The sequence below is a fragment of the Homo sapiens genome, chromosome X, assembly GCF_000001405.40.
Source record: "Homo sapiens chromosome X, GRCh38.p14 Primary Assembly".
NCBI classification, from domain to species: domain Eukaryota; kingdom Metazoa; phylum Chordata; class Mammalia; order Primates; family Hominidae; genus Homo; species Homo sapiens.
Window position 1 is genome coordinate 136,702,857 of NC_000023.11, and position 24,371 is coordinate 136,727,227.

General features: G+C 37.8%; 1 protein-coding gene across 12 annotated transcripts in view; it reads right to left on the reverse strand.

Annotated features, from left to right (window-relative positions):
- ARHGEF6 (Rac/Cdc42 guanine nucleotide exchange factor 6) overlaps positions 1-24,371 on the reverse strand; it is a 115,383-nt gene that overhangs the window by 37,307 nt on the left and 53,705 nt on the right. For all 12 annotated transcript variants that reach the window (NM_001440993.1, NM_001440996.1, NM_004840.3 and 9 more), the window contains 3 exons: positions 10,420-10,514; positions 5,819-5,914; positions 4,052-4,174 (listed from right to left, as the gene is read on the reverse strand). In NM_001440993.1, coding sequence (NP_001427922.1) covers positions 4,052-4,174; positions 5,819-5,914; positions 10,420-10,514 — 314 coding nt within the window. The remainder of the gene's footprint in view (positions 1-4,051; positions 4,175-5,818; positions 5,915-10,419; positions 10,515-24,371) is intronic.

Below are 24,371 nucleotides of genomic sequence, written 5' to 3' on the forward strand. Positions count from 1 at the left end.
GAACCATCAGTCAAGTGGTTCTAATTAACATTTGTAGAATATTTCATTCAACAACAGTCACACTTTCTTCTCACACTCACATGGAGCATTCACCAAGATAGACCACGTTATGGGCCATAAAACACAACTTCAATTTATAAGAATAGAAATCAACAAATGGTGCTGGGACAACTAGATATCCACATGCAAAAGAATAAAATGGAACCATATGCACAAATTAACTCAAAATTAATTAAAGACCTAAATATAAAAGCTAAGATTATAAAACTCTAAGAAAATAAATAGGCATGAATCTACATGACCTGGATTAGGCAATAATTTCTTAGATACAACACCAAAAGTGCAAGCAACAACAACAAAACAACATATTGGACATCATCAAAATTAAAATGTAAAATCAAAATTTTTGTGCTTCAGAGAACACCATCAAGAAACCGAAAACACAACCCAAAAAATGAAAGCATATTTTTTCAAATCATATATAGGCACACCTCATTTTATTGCAGTGTACTTTATTGAACTTCACAGATAATTGCATTTTTTACAAATTGAAGTTTTGTGGCAACCGTGTGTTGAGCAAGTCTATCGGTGCCATTTTTCCAAAAGTGCGTACTCACTTTGTGTCTATGTGTCATATTTTGGTAATTCTTACAATACTCCAAACTTTTTTTATTTTTTTTCCTGAGACGGAGTTTCACTCTTGTTGCCCAGGCAGGAGTGCAATGGCGCAATCTCGGCTCACGGCAACCTCCGCCTCCCAGGTTCAAGTGATTCTCCTACTTCAGCCTCCCAAGTAGCTGGGATTACAGCCATGTGCAAGCATGCCCAGCTAATTTTGTATTTTTAGTAGAGATGGGGTTTCTCCATGTTGGTCAGGCTGGTCTCAAACTCCTGACCTCAGGTGATCCGCCCGCCTTGGCCTCCCAAAGTGCTGGGATTACAGGCATGAGCCACCACGCCCAGCCAATAAAGTATTCTTTAATTAAGGAATGTACCTTGCTTTTTTAGACATGATGCTATTGCACACTTAATAGACTATACAGTAGAGTGTAAATATAACTTTTGTATTCATTTGGAAACCAAAAAGTTCATGTGACTCACTTCATTGCAATATTCACTTCACTGTAGTGGTTTGGATCCACAGTATCTCCAAGGTAGACATGTATCTGGTAAGAATCTAATATCCAGAATATATAAAGAACTGTTGCAACTCAACAATGAAAAGATAGCTAACTGAATTTTTTAAATGAGCAAAAGATTTAAATAGACATATTCCCAAAGAAGACATTAAAATAGCCAATAAGCAAGATGAAAAGATGCGCAACATCACTAGCCATTAATAATGAGTGACTGTTACTGGGGACAGGTTTTTAGAGGGGAGTAATAAAAATGTTCTGGAGCTAGACAGTGGTGATGGCTACACAACCTTGTGAATATATTAAAAACCACTGAATTGCGTAGTTTAACATCGTGAATTTTATGTTATATAAATTATATCTCAATAAAAATACACATAACCCAATTTAAAAACAGGCTAAGGATCTGAATAGACATTTCTTTGAATGAAGGTATACGAACTTCCAGTAGGTACATGAAAGATGCTGTATTAGTCCGTTTTCACACTGCTATAAAGATACTATCTGAGACTGGGTAATTTATAAACAAAGGAGGTTTAATTGACTCACCATTCCACATGGCTGGGGAGGCCTCAGGAAACTTACAATCATGGTGGAAGGAGAAGGAAAGGCAAGTACTTCCTTCACAAGGTGGCAGGAAAGAGAGCAAGAGCGACGGGGGAAGAGCCCCTTATAAAACCTTCAGATCTCGTGAGAACTCACTATCATAAGAACAGCTTGGGGAAAACCACCCCCATGATCCAGTCACCTCCCACCTGGTCCCTCCCTCGACATGTAGGGTTGACAATTCAAGATGAGATTTGGGTGGGGACATAGAACCAAACCATATCAGATGCTCAATATCATTATTCCTGAGGAAAATGCATATCAATCTCACCATGAGAAACCACTTCATATCCACTAATATGTCTATAATCAAAAAGACTGACAATAACAAATGTTTGGTGAGGGTGTGGAGAAAATGAAACCCTCATACACAGATAGTGAGAAAATAAATTGGTGCAGTGACTTTGTTTTGTTGTTGTTGCTGTTGTTGTTTTGTTTTTGTTTTGTTTTTTGTCTGAGGCAGAGTCTTGCTCCGTCAAGTGAAGCCAAGGTGGGCGGATCATTTGAGGTCAGGAGTTCGAGATCAGCCTGGCCAACATGGTGAAACCCCATCTCTACAAAAATTAGCTGGTCGTGGTGGTGCGTGCCTGTAATCCCAGGTACTCTGGAGGCTGAGGCAGGAGAATCGCTTGAATCTGGGAGGCAGAGGTTGCAGTTGTGCTCCAGCCTCGGTGACAGAGCAAGACTCTGTCAAAAAAAAAAGGAAGGGAAGAGGAGGGGAGGGGAGGGAGAAAAGAAAAGGGTAACTTTCTATTGCTTAAGCCAGGTGGTAGATACACAGGTGCTCATTTTATTGTGATCCTTTAAATTTGCATTTACATTATTCTTTCTGTGGATAAAATATATGTCTTAATAAAAATATTTTTTAGAAGTCTGACAGACCTGGATTCTGGCTCAACCACTTAAGATCTATGAGTTCTTGGGCACATTACTTAACCTAAGCCTTCCAATGTCTTATCTGTAAAGCAGAGATGGTAATAATAATAACTCCCTCATAGGCTTTTACATCATGTGCCTGGCACATCGTCAGTGCTATTACTAGCTAATGTTAGCTATAAGCAGTTGAGCCACTTGCCTAAAAATGCCAGGTTCATGACCTCTCTTTCTTTAAACTCCAATTTCCATATTTGCTATTCCATAAGAGTTCAAAATTTATCAGAGGAATAAAATTGACCTTCAAGCAGGACTTACTGCGTTCAACCTTTAAAATGTCCTTACATAACATCTTTGTAAAGCCAATAAATATTGCACCTTAATAAACCAGGACAAGAACCAAAATTTCTGTCATTTCTGGAGGCTCGTGTCAACTAATGTTCTAGCCTAGCTCTGGGAGCTCAAATCTAGGTCAGATTAAGAGAATATTATTTTCAGTCTTGAACAGCTTCCAGAATCCATGTCCATTCTGCATCTTAGTCTCCAAGTTAAGTCAAGAGTCTCTATATGTTGGACTTGCTTTTGTCCCACCTGGATTTCCAGCATATGACTTCAAAGGTAAAATTCTGTCACTAAGCCTGTCCTACAGTTTTCTGGCCCAGATGAATGTGTCAGTGAATGTGTCAGGGGTGGGTAGTCAGAAGCTAAGGATGGCAGGAGAGGTGTAACACTTATCTAGGTCCCTTGCAAGGACTCGTATTCTTAAAGGAGACACTATTCTATTGTTCATCATGAATCGGAAGCAACTTATATTCATGTATAATTATTATCAGAGCCCTTTGCTTAAAGTATCTGTCACACAGCTCACACCTGCTTTGTAGCTACATCATTGCCTAAAACTTTCTCTACGCAGACTAGGGAAGGCAAAAAGAGATGAAGCTACACAGTTTAGCTATGTGTCAGCAACTCAGAAAAAACATTCATTGGGGTAGGGGAAAGCTAAATGATAGGCTCGAAATAGAATTTTGCTTCAGGAAAGCCCTCCCTGACCCTTTCTTCACATCCCACTAAGTTGATATCATGTTAATGTTATCTCACAGAACCCTTTTAATTTACTGTTTCATAATATGACACGTTTACAACATTTAATTTAATATCTGCATTTCCCTCAAGATTCTGTGCTCAATGAGGGGAAGGACCTCCTCCTCCTTGTTCATTCCTGTATCCCCATCAGCTGGTACAGGGCCTTGCACATAGTAGGTGCTCAAGAATTTATTCATTGGATTAATGGACAATCAATCCATGTAACAATGAATCAATTCCTGGCATCATGAACAGGGATAATCAAGAGTCCAACTGAAGACCTTGGATTTCCAAATGACGTGGTCCTAAGAAAGGATCTCATTGCAAAAGTTGGGGAAATGTTAACTATTTACCTGTGCTGAGTGAGCACATTTACAGCTGAAGGATGGTTTGCACAGTAAGCCAGATACATAGATTTAAAATGAGGCATGAGACTCAGTAGACAACCTCCTACTTTGTGCTGGTTTTCTGGAAACCTGTAAACAAAATGGACAAAACACAGAATGTAAAATAGGAAACAGGAGGCAAAGGAAGATTATTCCAATTAAACCTGGCAGCATGAAAGCCTTCTGAATATTTTGCCAAGGTTAAAAGAGAAACTATATTATAACCATTTTACCCATGAAACTCAAATTCTTGCCCACTGCTTTAAACTCTAGCCACCAAACACAGTTGTAATACATAGGGTCAGATACTTACTTGGAATTAGTAGGTATGGTTGCTTGTTTGTTTTTAAGATGATTATTTTCAAATTTAGCTGGGTACACTAAAAATATTCTTGGTTAATTTATCTAAAGTTTGAGTACAGACAAAACTAATCAAATCCAAAAATGACATACCACAAAAGAATATTATGTAATCTTGGAGGCCTGGTGTTTGCTACGCAGGGTGGCCTCAAAAGTTTTTAAATTAATGTTTTAAATTATAAGCCACCTGTCTTCATTTGTAGAAAAATCAGAAAAGTGTAATAAGAAAAATGAATTTCTCAGACTCCCACCATTTGGAGATACTGACTCTAAAAATGTTGACATGTTTCTTGGGCTTTTTTCTACATGTTTCTCTATAAAATGGAAAACATAAGGATTATGAATCTAGTTTGTAATCTGCCCTTCTCGCTTAGTGAACATCTTTGCATATCAATAATCTAGATCCCTCTTGGCCCCTCAAGTCCCTTTAGTGTGGGCCCTCTCCATCGTTCTTCCTGGACAACCACCTGTGTCCTATTAAGCTTAAATAACAGGTAATCACCTCAATTTCCCTAGAGAGATGAAAGCTGCCAACTTCTTTAAGATACGCTGCTTGAAAAATTAGTCTTTCTATAGAGACATATTGCCTGATGATCATTATAGTTCACTGTAGTATGAAGTTAAACATCTGGACAATCTAGCTAGCCATCAAAAATGTGTTGGTTCACATAAAGATATACTTTTCCTTCCCCCACTTTCTGTGTGTTTCAACTCTTAATATAATAGACATAGTATCAGGAGCAATTCAAAGACACCAAATCTGTGAAACTGAATGAATCATTTGAATGACTTTTCCAAGTAATTTGCAATGTACAAAAGAAAATATGTAATCAGTGCCAGAGGTGTCATTCATGGTCAATTAAGACCTCATGTGTCTCCAGGGAGGGGACCATCACACACTGGGGCCTGTCGGGGAGTGGGGTGAAAGGGGAGGGAGAGCATTAGGACAAATACCTAATGCATGCAGGGCTTAAATCCTGGATGACGGGTTGATAGGTGCAGCAAACCACCATGGCGCATGTATACCTATGTAACAAACCTGCACGTTCAGCACATTTATCCCAGAACTTTAAGGAACATTAAAAAAAAAAAAAAGACCTTATGTGTCTCTTATACTGACCAGAAACAGCAAACTGATGTATTTTTTAAATAAAGTCAAAAGTAATTTACAAGATATAGACTTCTAATATACAACTAGTGGTTTGACACTGTGAACACTGCCACCTAGTACACTGTCTATGTATTGCTACTTTGTTCAGAGCTGTAACAAATACTTAACTATGAAGTGTCCTTATCAAAGGCAACAGGTAAAAGGAAAACAAAACACAAACAGCAATGTTGCTGGCTATCCTATCAGAAATATGCCACACTTACTTTGAACATTCTTCCAAGGCTTGGCAGAGTGTCTGTTGAAATGTGCATACTTCCTCGAAGTTTCCCAGTAAAGATGTAACCTCCACAGTACTCAGACTGAAAAAAAAATACAGTACATGTAGTTATCTATTGTAGTCTAGTTGGCTAATAGTTTGCTAATATATGGTAAATAAAAGGGAGGTAATACCTATATTTTAACTTTTGCTTTTTAATTTATAACAACTCTATTGTCTTAGGCAGCTTCTTAAGCTTCTCCCCTTGATTTTCTTTTATATAATAAGAATAATGATCCTAAAGAAATGGAGTGGTCGTAAGGGACAATTAGGTATTTTATAAAGCAACAGGTAAATTAAAACAAGTGCTTAATACTGAAGTATACAAATAGATAAAAATACATCATAGCTGTGAATAAGTGTAAAAAACTCTTGAGTACCTTCCTCTGGATGAACTGGAACAGTAATTGAAAGATATTATATATGCTCATATAATACACAAGAAAAAATAGCAAAATCAACTTTCTCCTAAACTAAAATGCTCATACATCAATTAAAGGAAATCTTTATGAGATGAAGTAGGAGGAAAAAAATAGTATTGATTTGTTTGTTTCTGGAGTAGAGTGAAGTCAAATAAAGGCAAACTGAACCACTTTATCCAGGGCCTCTGTATGAAGAATGTTCTTATCCATTCCTCCCCTACCAAACAGTAAGTGATAATAATAACAAGAGTCAACACTCATAGAGCACTGAACACTTACACAAGCATTTTACAATTAAAACCTTATTTTAACCTTACAATAACTCTTTAAGGTAGGTATTATGCCAGTGCTGTTTCCATTTTACAGGTGGGGAAACCCAGGCATAGAGAGGTTAAGCAAATCATCCAAAGGTACAAAGCCAGGAAATGCCAAAGACAGAAATTGAACCAAAACATTCTAGCTGCAGAGTCCATGCTCTTAACCACTTTTTGGGAGAAAACGTTTCTGAAGATTTGTTTAAAAAGCCAAGGTTGGGCTGGGCGTGGTGGTTCATGCCTGTAATCCCAGCACTCTGGGAGGCCGAGGCGGGTGGATCACTTGAACCCAGGAGTTCAAAACCAGCCTGGCCGACATGGTGAAACCCCGTCTGTACTAAAAATACAAAGAATTAGCCGAGTGTGGTGGCAGTCGCCTGTAATTCCAGCTACTCGGGAGGCTGAGGCAGAAGAATTGCTTGAACCTGGGAGGCGGAAGTTGCAGTGAGCTGAGATCGTGCCACTGCACTCCAGGCTGGGTGATGGAGTAAGACTCTGTCAAAAAATAAAAAAGCCCATGTCTGCCACATGTTCTTCTCCTTAAGTGTATAGTAACACTAGGCCGGGTGTGGTGGCTCACGCCTGAAATCCCAGCACTTTGGGAGGCTAAGGCAGGCAGATCACTTGAGGTCAGCAGTTCAAGACCAGCCTGGCCAACATGGCGAAATCCCATCGCTACTAAAAATACAAAATTGCCATGCGTGGTGGCACATGCCTGTAGTCTCAGCTACTCAGGAGGCTGAGGCAGGAGAATCGCTTGAACCTGGGAAGCAGAGGTTGCAGTGAGCCGAGATCTCACCACTGCACTCCAGCCTGGGGGTGGAGTGTATTGTATATGCTATATAATATATATATTATATATTATACATATATATATATATATATATATAGAATACCAGGGGAGTATTCCCAAGAGAATATTTTTTTGCTGACTAAGAAAGAAAGGGAAGAAGACCAAAACAAACATTACCAGTAACTCTGAGAGAATAAAAAACTGCCAGTTCCTCTGCTGTAATGCCATCCTGAATCACAAGCTGGAAAACCCCTATTCTAAAGTGAAACCTTTAGCCAACCAACTTCCCTGGTTGTTGCTCTCTCAGAGCAGTGAGAACTTAAGTTGGGGCCTTACCTGAACTTGACTGGGGGCTTATCTGGCCCCTTCACGATCAGATAATAGTCAGTCTGGTTTGCTCAAATCACTTTGGGGCCGACAAGATAGTGAGAAGTAATGGAAACTTACTATCACTGCATTCTGAATTCATTTAGGAACAGTACAGGTCTGACTCAGGTCTCTCACCTCCTTGGCCCTGACTCTTTTCCAAGGAACTCAAACAAACCAGTAAGAAAAAAAAACAAATAATCCCATCAAAAAGCAGGCAAATGACATGAACACACACTTCTTAAAAGAAGACTTACAAATGGCCAACCAACATATGAAGAAATGCTCAGTATCACTAATCATCAGAGAAATGCAAATTAAAACCATGAGATACCACCTCCGCCCAGCCAGAATGGCCATTATTAAAAAGTAAAAAATAATAGATGTTGGTGTGGATGTGGTGAAAAGGGAACACTTACACACTGCTGGTGGGAATGTTAGTACATTAGTACTAACATTAGTACAGCCTCTTTGGAAAGCACTACAGAGTTTTCTCAAAGCTAAAAGTAGATCTACCATTCCATCCAGCAATCTCACTACTGAGTATTTAGCCAAAGGAAAAGAACTCATTAAATCCTCTTATTGTTTCTTGATCACTAATCAGTCCCTCTCCTTCATTTAAAATCTTACCGTCTCCCCTCCCAGAGTTACCACTTCAGTTTCCATCTCCTCTGCCTGTCACTTCCAGAAAACAGAAAGCATGTTTCACTTGGCAGCAGGGGGCACAGTGGCTCCAGCCTGGCCATGTACTGGCTGTGGGATGGGCAAGGCAGTAAACCTGTCTGGACTTCAGCTTCTTCTCTATTTAATAGAGATAGTCATTTCTCCCAGGATACTAGACCCAATGATTTACAGATTTACTTCAGCTCTAAGAAATATGATTCACAGAACACTTCATATTTCACATGATAATAACAAAAAATACTTTGTTTTTTGTTTTGTTTTGTTTTGTTTTTTTGAGATGGAGTCTCACTCTGTCCCCCAGGCTGGAGTACAGTGGCATGAACTTGGCGCACTGCAACCTCCGCCTACCGAGTTCAAGCGATTCTCCTGCCTCAGCCTCTTAAGTAGCTGGGACTACAGGTGCGCACCACCAAGCCGAGCTAATTTGTATTTTTAGTAGAGATGGGGTTTCGCCATGTTGCCCAGATTGGTCTTGAACTCCTGGCCTCAAGTGATCCACCCGCCTCGGCCTCCCACAGTGCTGGGATTACAGGCGTCAGCCAACGTGCCCAGCCAGCCACTGCACCTGGCCCAAAAAACACTTTGTTGTTGATCATGTTTAAACTCTTACAACACAGGAATAGAAAATTTTTTCATACTGAAGTAGATTTCCATAGTGCCAGGAGAATAAACAAGTGGGAAATTTAGCAAGAACAAAGGCATTATAACTAAACAAGTATAATTTGGAAAAGGGGAGAATTTTTCTCACAATATTTTTTCTTTTCTTTTTCTTTTGTTTGCTTGGTTTTGTTGTTGTTGTTGTTGTTTGTTTGTTTGTTTTCACATGGAGTCTTGCTCTGTCTCCCAAGCTGGAATGCAGTGATGTGATTTTGGCTCACTGCAGCCTCCGCCTCCCAGGCTCAAGCGATTCTCCTGCCTCAGCCTCCCAAGTAGTTGGGATTACAGGCTTGCACTACCACGCCCGGCTAATTTGCTTTTGTATTTTTAGTAGAAACAAGGTTTCACCATGTTGGCCAGGCTGGTCTTGGACTCCTGACCTCAAGCGATCTGCCCGCCTCAGCCTCCCAAAGTGCTGGGATTACAGGCTTTTCAGCCATCACACCCGGCCAAATTTCTCAAATATATTAACTTATTTAAGTTTGAAGCTGATAGTTTAGACAACTGTTTAGCAATAGTAAACTCTTTCCAAGGTAAAAAGAGAGGGGTTTTTTCTGCATTATATGGGCTGACTGGTAAATTTTCTATATGATCATGATCTCTAGTGAAATTTAATTAATTAAAATAAAAACAAATAAATGCAGTTCACCACTATTTGTTAAATATGCTGTGCCTACAAGGATAAAAAAAAAATGGTCACTACTTTTCTTTCATGAAAACTAAAGCTTTCAATTCTTTCAATTCAGGCTTTACACAATCACTTCAGATTTCTAAGACCAGAGTAAGGTTTGAACATTTTGTCTTTAAAAACACTTTAGCATCTCTTTATCATTCACATTTGCCTGGGTGAAATAATGGCTTGAATAGCTCTTACAAGCATTCACAAAATGCCATACTCTTTCCATTCTCAGAGCATGGGAAAGAAGTTCTGCCCTGGCAAACAAAGGTCAGAGTGAGCATGAGAATTTCCAGTTTATGTGCTTTCTGAATAAAAGCACCAGGGACTTCTTTTCCTGTAAGGTAAAACCAAGCACATCACTTTTTTTTTTTTTAATGTACAAGATAAAAATTGTGACAGGAAGAAACACAGATCTGCTCATTCCTTTCACAGCCAGAAGAGAAAGAAAGCCAAGCTCTCCAAAAGCAATATCTTGCATAATTTCTGTTGCCCTGACCATGTTCTTGGCAACCTGTGATCTGTGGAAATTCTTCTAAAGGGCAAAATCAATTATTCAGTGACATAAGAATAATGATTCCATATGTTGACATTATGTTGCTTTACTTAGTGAGGGATTTAAAATAAACATCTTACTTGTTATTGGACTGCAGGGGTCTTAAGTAAGTAACAAGAAGAGACTGAAGTTCTTTAGCATATTCTTTTTCAGTGTCCAGGATGTTCTGTAACACCTATGGAAAAAAAAGTCAATGTATTATAATCATCACGATAGTCTAAGGCAAAATGTAGCTTTGATCTTTTAACCAAATTACTAGGAAGAAAAAAGGTCCTATTTACTCAGGCTACCATTGCAAGCAAGGAACACAAAATCTGAATGCATTTTCTTTCAATCTAGCAAACTACTTTAATTATTGCATGACAACTGGTTATATTGCACAATTCATATGAATACAATTTTTCAGTTGCCCATAACTGAAGGGGCCTTGCGATTTACACAGTACTGCTTGGTTATTTATTTCTTGTAGAGACAGGATCTCTCTATGTTGCCCAGGGTGGTCTCAAACTCCTGGTCTGGAGCAATCCTCTTGCTTCAGCCTTCCAAAGTGCTGGGATTACAGATGTGAGACCACATCAAACCCCACAGTACTGTTTAAAATGTTTTCATGTGCTGTAAATGATTTTATCCTCAGGAAGTTCTCAGTTAGTTAACAAAGAATCATTATTCCTCTTTTATGGAGGAGAAAATTGAGGCCAGCTACCTTAGACATAGAGACTTAATGTCAGTATAATTTAAGGATCACTGTGATAACAAACATCACAAGAGATTTTTGTTTAAGTTATGTTTGTGATAAGACCTTTGGGGAACAAAATCTGAGGATACAGTGAATTTTTAAGCAGAGTTAAAACTAGTCTTTTCTTAAAGGCAAAAGGTGCTACCATAAACAATTCAAAGAACAAAGTAGGCTGAAGTGTGAGGAATTTAACAAGAGAAATAAAAATTATCATTATTATTATTAATGTAATTAGAATCCTATAGGCAAAACAACCAATATGGGGGATCACAATTTCTCTTCCCCTACCAGTTCTAGGGTCATGTCACAACCCATTTCCAAGCCTCTTCTAGTGACAGGTAAAACCTTCATTTAATACCTAATGTAAATGACGGGTTGATGGGTGCAGTGGGCCAGCATGGCACATGTATACCTATGGAACGAGCCTGCACATTGTGCACATGTACCCTAGAACTTAAAGTATAATAATAATTTTAAAAACCTTCATTTAAGCTCTTAGGGACAACCCAGTTAACATTCTGGTATATTTTCTTTCATATATTCTAATTCATTCAACAAAATCGACTGAGTGCCTATTCTGCCAACTGCCGTGCTGCCCACAGGGAGTTTATACTGTATTTGCAGAGACATTAAACAGAGAGTTACAAGACAGAGTGAAGTGTCCTTAACTAGGAGAAGTGTATTAGCCTACCAATATGCCAGCCATATACTCACAAGACAATGCATGATGATCTGCTTTTGAAAGGTGGAATGGTCAAAACAAGTGGAGATCCTGGTAACCGTGGGTTCTCTGGGAAACCACTGGAGTGCAGGGTGGTAGTCCTGACTCTGCTGCTGACTGAGAGGTTGCTTCAGTTTAAAACTTTGCTTACATCATCTCAGATTATGATATTGCACCTACCTGGGGGACCATTATGAAGATGTAGTGACACACTGTACAGATAGGTGCTGGGTAAGTGGGAAACAGACCTACCAATTTAAAGGGTTAAAAAAGGGTTTCTCAATAGCAACATTATTAACCTTTCAAACCAGATAAGTCTTTGTTGTGATGGAATGCCCATATCATTGCCATGACATTGCCAAATGTCACCTGAAAGGCAATATTGCCCCCAGTTGAGAATCACTGGCTTAGAAGAACACAGGATGGCTTCAAAAGCTCGGGCTTAAATTGTAACCCCTATACCCAGCCACTCATGTCTACTTTCAGTTCCTCTATTCCTCAGAAACTACCCTCTAAAAGTGTAAATGCAGGGTTCTGGAGGTATTGATGTTCTCGGAAATTAACCCAGTAATGGAATAGAAATATTCCCCTCTATAGAAAGTCCAAGCGCGAGAATGGAAATTAGAAACTACTTTGAGATGAATGAAAATGAAAACACAACATACAAAAACTCATGGGGTGCAGTTAAACAGTGCTTAAAGAAAACTATATACTTATAAATGCCTATTTTAAAAAAGAAAAAAAAGACTTTCATTTTTCAGTCTGACATGTAAGGAGCTTAGAAGTCATTACTCCATCCTAACAGGAAGGAAATAGCTAAACAAACTGAAATAAACCATCGTTTTCTCTTAAATCTGTCAGAAAAGAGAGGTCACAGGGAAAACTGCTACTCCAAAAATTGGAGAAACAGGCAGATAAAGAGAATCACAAATTACCAGAGCAGAAGTCCACAAGCAGAAGCCTCCACAGGAACCAGCACTAGGGCAGAAAAACCTACACTGTAATTGACAAACTTCTGGGGGCTCTGTACAGGCAAGTCTGAGAGTTAGGAACTCCAGGGGCCCAATATTAGGACAGCACACTCACACTTTTGTGAGTTTAAGCTCCAGTTTCTCTCAGTGAAGATTAGAGGAAAATACCCTCATGCTTCAGGCAGAGGGAGGGAAAAAGTTGCCTTTTTGAATATGCCAGAGCACTCTATTCTTCTTAACAAGGTCTGCCCTCAGGAGAAACTATTTTACCAGAGCATAACCTATTTTTTGTTTGTTTGTTTGCTTTGTTTGTTTGTTTCTGTTTTTGTTTTTTGAGACGCAGTTTCGCTTTTGTTGCCCAAGCTGGAGTGCAATGGCACAATCTCGGCTCACTACAACCTCCACCTCCTGGGTTCAAGCCATTCTCCTGCCTCAGCCTCCCTAGTAGCTGGGATTACAGGCATGCGCCATCACGCCCAGCTAATTTTGTATTTTTAGTAGAGATGGGGGTTTCACCATGTTGGTCAAGCTGGTTTCGAGCTCCTGACCTCAGGTGATCCGCCTGCCTTGGCCTCCCAAAGTGCTGGGATTACAGGCGTGAGCCACTGCGCCCGGCCTGAGCATAACCTATTGAATTTTTATCAGATGCTAACTGTTATGGGGGAAGGTCAATAAGCAACTCCAGCCAGCTCTAGCCTTCCACATGGGGGAAGGAAGATAACCCAACTCCAGCCCTTTCTAGCCATCCTGTCCCACCTAAGCGGGAGAACTAGGAAGCACGGGTGAAGTTCACAGTCCAGGGACACAAGCTCATTAAAAACTGAGACCTAATCTGGAAACATAGAATGTTTCCCCTCCTTCTACACCTTACCACCACATTACTAAAGGATTATTTACCACAGTTCCTTTACCCAGTACATCATGTCAGGCTTCCAACAACAATTTACAAGGCATATTAAAAGGCAAAAAATACAGTATGAAGAGACAAAGCAAGCATCAGAACTTAAGTCAGGTAACACAGGAATGTTAGAATTATCAGACCAGTGTTTTTAAGTAACTGTGATTAATATACTAAGGACTCTAACAGAAAAAGTAGACAACGTGCAAGAATAGATGGATATTATAAGCAGAGAAACAGACATTCTAAGAAAGAATCAAAAAGCAATGCTAGAGATTAAAAACACTGTAACAGAAATGAAGAATGCCTGCACATGATGGACTCAATAGTGATCTGGGCATGGCTGAGGAAAGAATCTTTGAGCTTGAGAATATGTCAATAGAAACTGCTACAACCAAAAAGCAAAGAGGAAAAAGACTGGGGGTAAAAATAGAAGAGAATATGAAAGAACTGTGGGACAACTACAAAAGGTGCAACATTCATGTAATGTGGAAATATCAGGAGAGGAAAGAGAAAATAATAGAAGAAATATTTGAAACAATAGTGGTTGAGAATTTACTCAAAATTAGTCAGACACCAAATCACAGATCCAGGAAGCTCAGAGACCAAGTAGGATAAATGCAAAAGAAAATTCTAATCATGTGATATTCAAACTCCAGAAAATCAAAAATAAAGAAAAAAGTATTGAAAGAAGCCATGGGAAACAAACAGTTTATCTATACAGAAGTTCAAATAAAAGTTACATCTGACCTCTCCTCAGAAACAATGCAAGCAAGAGGAGAGTTGAGTGAAATATTTAAAGTGTTGAGAGAAAAACCCACTAACCTTGAGTTCTGTATCTTGTGAAATTATCCTTCAAAAGTGAAAGACATATCAAGACTTTTTCAGACAAACAAAAACTGAGGGAAACTGTCACCATTAGACCTGCCTTGCAAGAAATGTTAAAAGAAGTTCTTCACAGAGAAGAAAAACAATATAGGTCAGAAATCTGAATCTACATGAAGAAGGAAAGAATATTAGAGAAGGGATAAGTAAAGATAAAATAAAAACTTTTTTCTTATTTTTAATTGACCTAATAGATAACAGTTTATTCAAAATAATAATAGCAGCAATGTATTTGATTATGTGTGTGTATATACTAATGTGTATTTATGTGTAAGTAAAATGAGTGACAGCGATCATACAAGGGATGGGAGGTAATAATTAGGAATACTATGTTATTATAAGGTACTTGCACTACCTGCGAATATAGTATGTATCTTTGTATAGTATTATATGAAAGTGAACTGGGACTAGCTATCAAGGCATAGAGCAACCACTAAAAATGTTTTTCTTAAAGAAATATAACTGATAAGTGAAAAAAGAGAAATGGAATCATATAAAATGCTCAATTAAAACAAAAAGCAAAAAAATGTGGAAGACAAAAAGCGAACAACGAAAAGGGCAACAAATAGAAAACAGTAACAAGTATGGTAGGCATTAATCCACCTATATCAATAATCACTTTAAATGTCAGTGGTCTAAATGTACCAATGAAAAGACAGACATTTTCAGAGTGAATCAAAAAATAAGACCCAACCATATGCTGTTAATAAGAAATTCAATTTAAATATAAAGACACTTATAAATTAAAAGTAAAGGGATGAAAAAGGAGATATCATGTTCATACTAATCAAAAGAAAGCTGGAGTGGCTATGTTAATTTTAGACAGAGCAAACATTAGAGCACGAAAAATTATCAGGAATAAAAGAGGCATTACATAATAATAAAGAGGTCAGTTCTCCAACAAGACATAACAGTCCTTAATATGTATGTGCCTAAAAACAGAATCAAACTACATGAGGCACAACTTTTATAATCAAATGAAAACTCTTCCATCAAAATTGCAGTGGAAGCGTTCTCCCTTCAATCAATAATAAAAAAAAATTAACACTCTAGTTCCTTGTCAGTGCAAATGACAATAAATTTGCTTATTTAACCCATTCTCATTCAAAGACCAGGTGAATAAAGTATATTGATAAATCTGAAAGTATATTGATATATCTAACTTCCCAAAGAATGACAATAACAATTATGAAAAACTGTTAAATAATTTATACAAATTTCTTTATGCATAGCTTTTTAGAACTTTTAGTATGATAAATATATTTTGAATCTCTAAGCAGGGCCAATATGATATTGTGTTTTTCAAACATATTTGACAATGGCATTGTGTATTTTTTAGGCATTTTACACACATTGGTACTTGCTAATTGCTATTCCAAGAAATGAACAAAGGAACAAAAGAAATGAACAAAAGAAACATTTTCTTTGGCTGAGTTATATTTTAATATTATGCATTTCAGTGAGAACTGACATTAGAAGTAGCTATATAAAAGGCCATCATAGTTGTAAACTATTGTTGTAAACTATAGTTAAAGACATTGTCCAGTATGTTGACTGGCATTCTTGGAGTAAATTCCTCCTGTGATTTAATACTTGGTAAAAAAAAAAAAAAAAAAAAAGTGAGGCAAAAACTGCTAGAACTTCAAGTAGAAATAGATAAATTTATTGTAGTTGAGACTTCAATACCCCTCTATCAGAAATGGAGAGATCCAACAAGCAGAAAATCAGTAAGGACATACTAGAACTCAATAGTACCATCAAGCAACTGGATAGAGTTGGCATCTATAGACTACTTTATCCAACAACAGCAGATTACATATTCTCCTCAAGCCTACATGAAACATTCCTCAAGACAGACCACATTATGATCCATAAAACCCACCTTAGCAAATTTAAAAGAATAGAAATCATGCAATCTATGATCTCAGACGACAATGTAATCAAACTAGAAATCAATAACAGAAAAATACTTGGAGATTAAACAACACATCTCAAAATACATTTATTTTCTAAAAAGATATTTCAAGAGAAATTTTAAAATATTTTGAACTAAATGGAAATGAAAGAAGAACATTAAAATGTGCGGAATGCAGTGAAAGCAGTGCTTGTAGGGAAATTTATAGCACTGAATGCATATATTAGGAAAGAAGAAAGATCTAAAATAAATAATCTAAACTTCCACCCTAGGAAACTACAAAAAGAAGAGCAAACTAAATCTAAAGCACACAGAAGAAAAGAAATAATAAAAATTAGGGCAGAAATCAATGAGATTGAAAACAGAAAATCAGTAGAGGAAGTTAAAACCAAAAGGTGGCTCTTTGAAAAGATCAACAAAATTGATGAACTTCATTGAAAAAAAGAGAGAAGATACAAACTGTTAGTATCAGAAATGAAATGGCAGGATATCACTAGCGATCCCATGGACATTAAAATAATGTTAAAGGAATATTATTAATAACTCTGCCTACAAATTTGATAACCTAGATTAAATGGACCAGCTTTTTAAAGATACAATCTGCCAACACTCACAAGAGAAGAAATAGATAATCTGAATAGGCCTACATCTAGTAAAGAAAATGAATTGGTAATTAACATCGTTCCAAAACAGAAAGCATTAAGCCCAGATAGGTTCACTGGTAAATTCTACTAAACATTTAAGGAAGAAATTATATCAATTCTTTACAATCTCTTCCAAAACACAGAAGCAGAGAGAATACATACTTCCTAACTCATTTTATGAAGCCAGAATTATCCCAATACCCAAACCAAAGACATTACAAGAAAACTACAAACCAATATCTCTAATGAACATAGTTACAAAAATCATCAACAAAATATTAGCAAATAAAATCCAGCAATAGATAAAAAGAATGCTACAACACAGCCAAGTGTGATTTAACAAAGTATGCAAGACTAGTTCAACATTCCAAAAAATCACTAATGTAATCTATCACATCAACAGGCTAGAGAAGGAAAATCACATGATCGTATCAACAGATGCAGAAAAGGCATTTGACAATATACAACATCCATTCATGATTTTTTTTTAATTCTCAGAAAACTAGGAATAGTTTCTCAACTTGATAAAGAACAGCTACGAAAAAAAAAGGGAAAAAAAAGCTAACAAAAAACCCCGACATCTAACATCATACTTAATGGTAAGAAGCCAGATGCTTTCCTACTAAGATTAGGAACAAAACAAGAGTGTTCCCTCACACCACTCCTTTTCAACATCATATTGAATGTCCTAGCTAATGCAATAAGAAAAAAATAAAAGGTATACACATTGGGAAGGAAGAAATAAAACCGTCTTTATTTGTAGATGACATGATTGTATATGTAGAAAATCTGAATAAATCAAAAAAATTTCTGGAGCTAATGAGTGATTATAACATGGTTGCAAGATGCAAAGTCAATACACAAATGTCAATCATTTTCCTTTATATCAGCAATAAACAAAATCTGAAACAAAAAAATAATATTTAGATTAGCACCTCTAAAAATGAAATACTTAGGTATAAATCTAAGAAAATATGTACAAGATCTATACAAATAAAACTACAAAACTCTGGTAAAAGAAATCAAAGAACTAAATAAATGGGGAGATATCCTATATTCATGGGTAGAAAGACTCAATATTATCAAGATGTCAGTTATTTCCAACTTGATCTATAGATTCAACATAATTCCAATCAAAATCTCAGTAAGTTATTTTGTGGATATTGACAGATTCAAATTCCAAAAATAAAAATAAAACCAGTATGTTGAAGAGATATCTGCACTCCCATGTTCATTTCAGCATTATTCATGATAGCCAAAATATGAAATCAGCGGATGCATGGACAGAGAAAATATGGTATAAAAACACAATGGAGGCTGGGCATGGTGGCTCATGCCTATAATCCCAGCACTTTGGGAGGCTGGGGAGAGCAGATTGCTTGAGCTCAAGAGTTTGAGACCAGCCTCGGCAACATGGTGAGACCCTGTCTCTACAAAAAACTAAAAAATTAGCCAGGTGTGGTGGTGCACCCCTGTAGCCCCAGCTACTTGGGAGGCTGAGGTGGAAGGATTGTTTGAGTCCAGGGGGCAGAGGTTGCAGTGAGCCAGAATCACACCACTGCACTCCAGTCTGAGTGACAGAGCAAGACCCTGTCTCAAAACAAAACAAAACACAATGGAATACTATTCAGTCATTAAAAAGATGAAAATCCTGCCATTTGCAACAACATGGATGAACCTAGAAGACATTATGTTAAGTGAAATAAGTCAGGCATAGTAAGAAAGATACCACATGATCTCATCATATGTGTAATCTTAAAAAGTTGATCTCATAGAACTAGATAATAGAATGGTGGTTACAAGGGGCTGGGGAAGTTGGGGGAGCTGGTTGGGATGATGTTGATCAAGGGATATGAAACATCTGTTAGGAGGAATAAGTTCAAGAGAGCTCTTGTGCAACATTGTGACTATAGTAAATAACAATATATTGTACTCTTAAAAAATGCCTAGAGAGTGAATGTTAATTGTTCTTACCATAAAAATGATAACTCTGTGAGGTAATATGTGTGTTAATTAGCTAGCTTTAGTCATTCCACAATGACTAAACATGACAGAACATCATGTTGTACACAATTAATACATATAATTTTATCTGTCAATTAAAAAAAAAGACCATTCAGTGGGGAGAGAACTTTTTTTTCAACAAATGGTGCTGAGAAAACTGGATATTCACATGCAAAAGAAAGAATTTACACCCCTACCTCATACCATATACAAAAACTAACTCAAAATGGATTTCAGAGTTAAATCTACAAAAGTCTTAAAGTAAACAGAGGAGGAAATCTTCATGACTTTCAATTTGGCAATGGATTCTTGGGTGACACAAAAAGCAAAACAAAACAAAAATAAGTAAATTGGAATTCATCAAAATTAAAAACTTTTGTGTGTTAAATGACATTATCAAGAAAGTGAAAAGACAACTCATAGAATGGAAGAAATATTTGCAAATCATATATCTGATAAGAGTCTAGTATCCACAATATATATAGAACTATTACAACTCAACAACAAAAATAATCAATTAAAGTTGGCAAAGAATTTGAATAGAAATTTCTCCAAAGAAGATATACAAATGGCCAATAAGCATACCCAACATCATTAACTATTAGGAAAATGCTAATCAAAACTACAATTAGATACTACTTGATACTCAATAGGGTGGTTATATTACAAAGAAAAAAAAGCAGACAATAACAAGTGTTGGTGAGGATGTAGAGAAACTGAAACTCTTACAATTGCTGGTAAGAATGTAAAATGGTACTGCTACTGTGATAAACAGTTTGGCCATTCCTCAGAAAGTCAAACATAGAATTACCATGTGACCCAGCAATTCTGCTCCTAAAGAAGTGAAAACATATGTCCACACAAAAACTTGCACATGAATGTTCACAGCAGCATTTGTAATAATAACCAAAAAGTGGCAGCAACCCAAAGTCCATCAACTGATAAATAGATAAATAAAAGCTGGTCTAACCATACAATGGAATATTACTTAGCTATAAAAAGAAAGAAGTACTGATACATTCTGCAACATGGATGAACCTTGAAAATATTATGCTAAGTGAAAGAAACCAAACACAAAATATCACACATTATAGAATTCCATGTATGTAAAACTTCCAGAATAGGCAAAATCCATACAGACAGAAAGTAGATTAGTGGTTGCCAAGGGCTGGAGGGAATGGGAAATGGGAAGTGACTGCTAATGGATAGAAGGTTTTTTGGTGGGGTGATAACAATGTTGTGAAATTAGATGAGATAGTGGCGATCATTGTGCAACTCTGTGAATACACTAATAACAGTGAATTGCACACTTTAAAATGGTGAATTTTATGCTATGTGAATTGTACCTCAGTAAAGCTATTATTTAAAAACAAAGCACAAATTTCTCACCTGTCAATAAAAACTCTTCTGTTTTTTCTCTGACTCCAAGTCCTTATGCAGGGTCATGGCCCTCAATACTCAAGCTTGTTCATCATGATAGCTCTTTGTCCATCTGTGTTGTTGTTCACTGCAGTTCCTCAAGTAATCACTTATACTCAGCACTGATATTCATTTTTTTTAATTCATAGAAATGGAGAGAAATGCACTAGAATTCAACAGTACTATATTTTATTAAGTAAAAAGGAGGAGGTAAGGCTCATATGCACATTGCTTTATTTAAAATATTTATTTGGGCCAGGGGGAGTGGCTCATGCCTATAATTACAGCACTTTGGGAGGCCGAGGCAGGCAGATCACTCGAGGCCAGGAGTTTGAGACCAGCCTGGCCAACATGGTGAAACCCCCATCTCTACTAAAAATACAAAAATTAGCTGGGCATGGTGGCTCATGCCTGTAATCCCAGCTACTTGGAAGGCTGAGGCAGGAAGATTGCTTTTACCTGGGAGGTGGAGGTTGCAGTGAGCCCAAATCAAATCGCGCCACTGCACTTCAGCTGGGCGACAGAGGGAGGGTCTGTCTCAAAAAATATAAAAATAAAAATAAAATATTTACTTGGTTATCTATAGTATTGGTGTTGAGATTCAAAAAGGATAGGGCCCTTTTATATTCGGGAGGGAATTAAATCTTCTAATCTTTTTGTTCACACTTCTCTTTTCTCTTTTTTTCTTTCTTTTTTTTTTTTTGTTTTTTAGACGGAGTCTCACTCTGTCGCCCAAACTGGAGTGCAGTGGCACAATCTCGGCTCAATGCAACCTCTGCCTCCTGGGTTCCAGTGATTCTTCTGCCTCAGCCTCCTGAGTAGCTGGGACTACAGGTGCATGCTACCATGCACAGCTAATTTTTGTATTTTTAGTAGAAGCGGGGTTTCACCATATTGGCCAGGCTGGTCTCGAACTCCTGACCTCGTGATCCACCCATCTCGGCCTCCCAAAGTGCTAGAATTAGAGGTGTGAGCCACCATGCCTGGCCTGTTCACACTTTTCTAAAAAGACCATGTCTGGTAACAAGCCATCTCACATCCTCACCCTTCCTTTCTAACATTTTTTAAATTTTTTTAATTATTCATTTATTTTTTGTTGTGTGTTTGTTTGATTGTTTTTGAGACAGGGTTTTGCTGTGTCACCCAAGGAGGAGTGCAGTGGTGCTATCTTGGCTCACTGCAGCATTGGCCTCCCAGACTCAAATGATCCTCCTGCCTCAGCCTCCCAAGTAGCTCGGCCTGCAAGCACATGCCACCATGCCCAGCTAATTTTTTATTTTTTGTTGAGACAGAGTCTCACTATGTTGCCCAGGCCGGTCTTGAATTCCTGGGCTCAAACTATCCTCCTGCCTCTGCCTCCCAAAGTTCTGGGATTACAGGCATGAGCAACCATGCCCAGCTGTCACCCTCCCTTAAAGCACTGTTGTCTATAACTGTCATAGTCCCTGAATTATAGTATCTGTTGAAATAAAGAAAAACAACAGCAAACAGTCATTGCTTGAAGGGAATTTTTAAATTAGAAAAATCATAGATATTATTTTCATCATAAAATGTGATTTTTAAAACAAACACTACTTTAATTCCGTGGTTGATATAATTCACTCTGCTTCTCCCCCATTGAAATAGCCTTAATATTTCAACTCCCTTTAAAATGCTACCATCTGGGGCTCTTGTACCTGAAATTGCTAAGATTCTTCAAGAAAGATGCCAAGTGTCCTGCTCCAGTGGGTTTATTTGCTAGGTGAGGCAACACACTTTCTAGGGTACCCATCTCTGCTGGAACCACTGGCATAGGGCAGTTACTTCCCATGGGAGGGAGGCACGCAGACACTTCCTGCTGCCTTGGAGTGAGTTCTGGAGAGCTAAATGGAAATATACATTAAACTCCTATGACTGCAAGTTTTGAGAGTGGCAGAATGGACTTTACAAAATTAAAATGACAAAAGTGGTTAATAAGTCTTTTTATCAAATTATGCCCCCCCCCCAAAAAAAAACGTGAGTAGTAATATACTAAATAGAACTTCTCTTGCTGTGGTTGGATGAGCAGGAATGTTCATCAGGGTGGATGTTTGGGATTCCTTCCCAAAGTCACTCAGAACTTTATTGCTTTCTTCAATCTCAAAAGATCAACTGATGAACTTCTGAGACTGGTTCTTTATTTTTCAGGCCACAGGGCATCTAATGTAAAAGGATAAGAAGGGAAGCAGACAGAGAAGGCTATGTGCTCCCAAACAGAAGGCCTCAGTGGTGACTCAGAAGGCAAGGAGTTTGCCAGGCCAAGCAACTTCAGAGCAGTACAATTTGATCTGATGAAATCCATTCAAACTCACTAAAATAGACTCTGTCCAGACACTGCCTTTGCCTCCCTGACTCTGTCTTCACAAGGACAACTGGGCATCCTTTTGCTCAACCAACCTTTGCCTGAATTCAGAATAAAATAGACAGTGAGAAACCACAGGAAAAAAAAAGGTGGAGGCTTTTGCTACCACCATCCTGGGCTATTGATTTTCCAATAAAACACATTTCCCACATTTCCTGGAGAGGCTTTAGAGTGAGTTTGTATAACTATGTTTTCCAAAGGGAAGGAGTCATAAAAGTATAAAGAAATTATTTTAAGAAACTAAAATGCATAAACAATGGCTGAAAACAGAGATATCTCCAATGATAAAGGAGACTATAATGGTCTCAGGAAACCTTAAATCAAAGCAAAAATATTACATTATAGGAATTCTGAGATAATTATGGTGCCTATGAAAATGAGCTAATGTTGGTAAAGTTCTTTGAGAACAAAAAGGGCAATATATTATAATATTTATGTCATATTTGATTTCTATGCCAGTAGAACCGCCTGCAGTGATTGATTCTGCACGCCCAGGTCCTTAGCTTTCACAAAACAAGCAGCACTACTCCCCATTATCCACAAATAGATTCACGAACTCCACAGGATCCTGTCACTTCCTCCACCTCCAGCCCTCACATGGAAGAGCAGTATGGAGGAGTAAGATGGGAAGAGGGTAAGAAAGAAATAAGAGCGGATATGGAAAAGAGAATCAATGGATAGATGTGTAAGGTAGTTTAGGCTAGTAGAATTAAAAAGGTGGGTGAGCACTAGAAAGGTAGAAAAATCCAGGGTGGCAGAGAGAGGTAGATAGATGAGTGAGAGAGAAAATGAGGGTGAGCAGAAGGCGGGAAGCTACAGCAAAGGTTACCCGAGGCTTCCTAGGATTTTTGTAATGTAACATGCCACAGCCTTCCTCCCACATTTTCTACTGCAGGCAGGTTCTATAAAACATGCCCTTTAGGCATCTACCATTATGTTACATAAAGTAGGAGAAAGCAAGAACAAAATAAATGATATTGGTCCTTAGTGATTATATTTTCCTACTTGGATGGGGGGAAATACCACCTTTCACTCTGCACACAGATGCTCATCCCCAGAGTTGAATATTAGGATTACTGTGAGTCTGGCCTATTTGTGACAGCACAAAGGCCAGCTTTATTAAGTGTGTTGCAATAGTTGCAGTGAATAAAGAATTTCATCTTACAAGGGATATTTGGATGGGAGAAGAAGAGCGTGCAGTCCACTCTCTGACCTGCAGGGACTAATTACAGACAGGCACATTCTTGCCTGGGAGAATTTGCTCATATGGCTCCCCCTGTCTGAATAAGCTTTCAGCTCTTCTCTGCTTGTCTAACTTCCGACCTTCCTCCAAGATTTGCCTTGAATCCTACATCCTCCATTCAACCTTTTCCTTGATTGGTTCTCATATTTTAGGTGAAGTGAGCATCAGAGCCACCTGTGTGTTAAGGGGAAGTGGTTAAGGAAGGAGTGGGAGTTG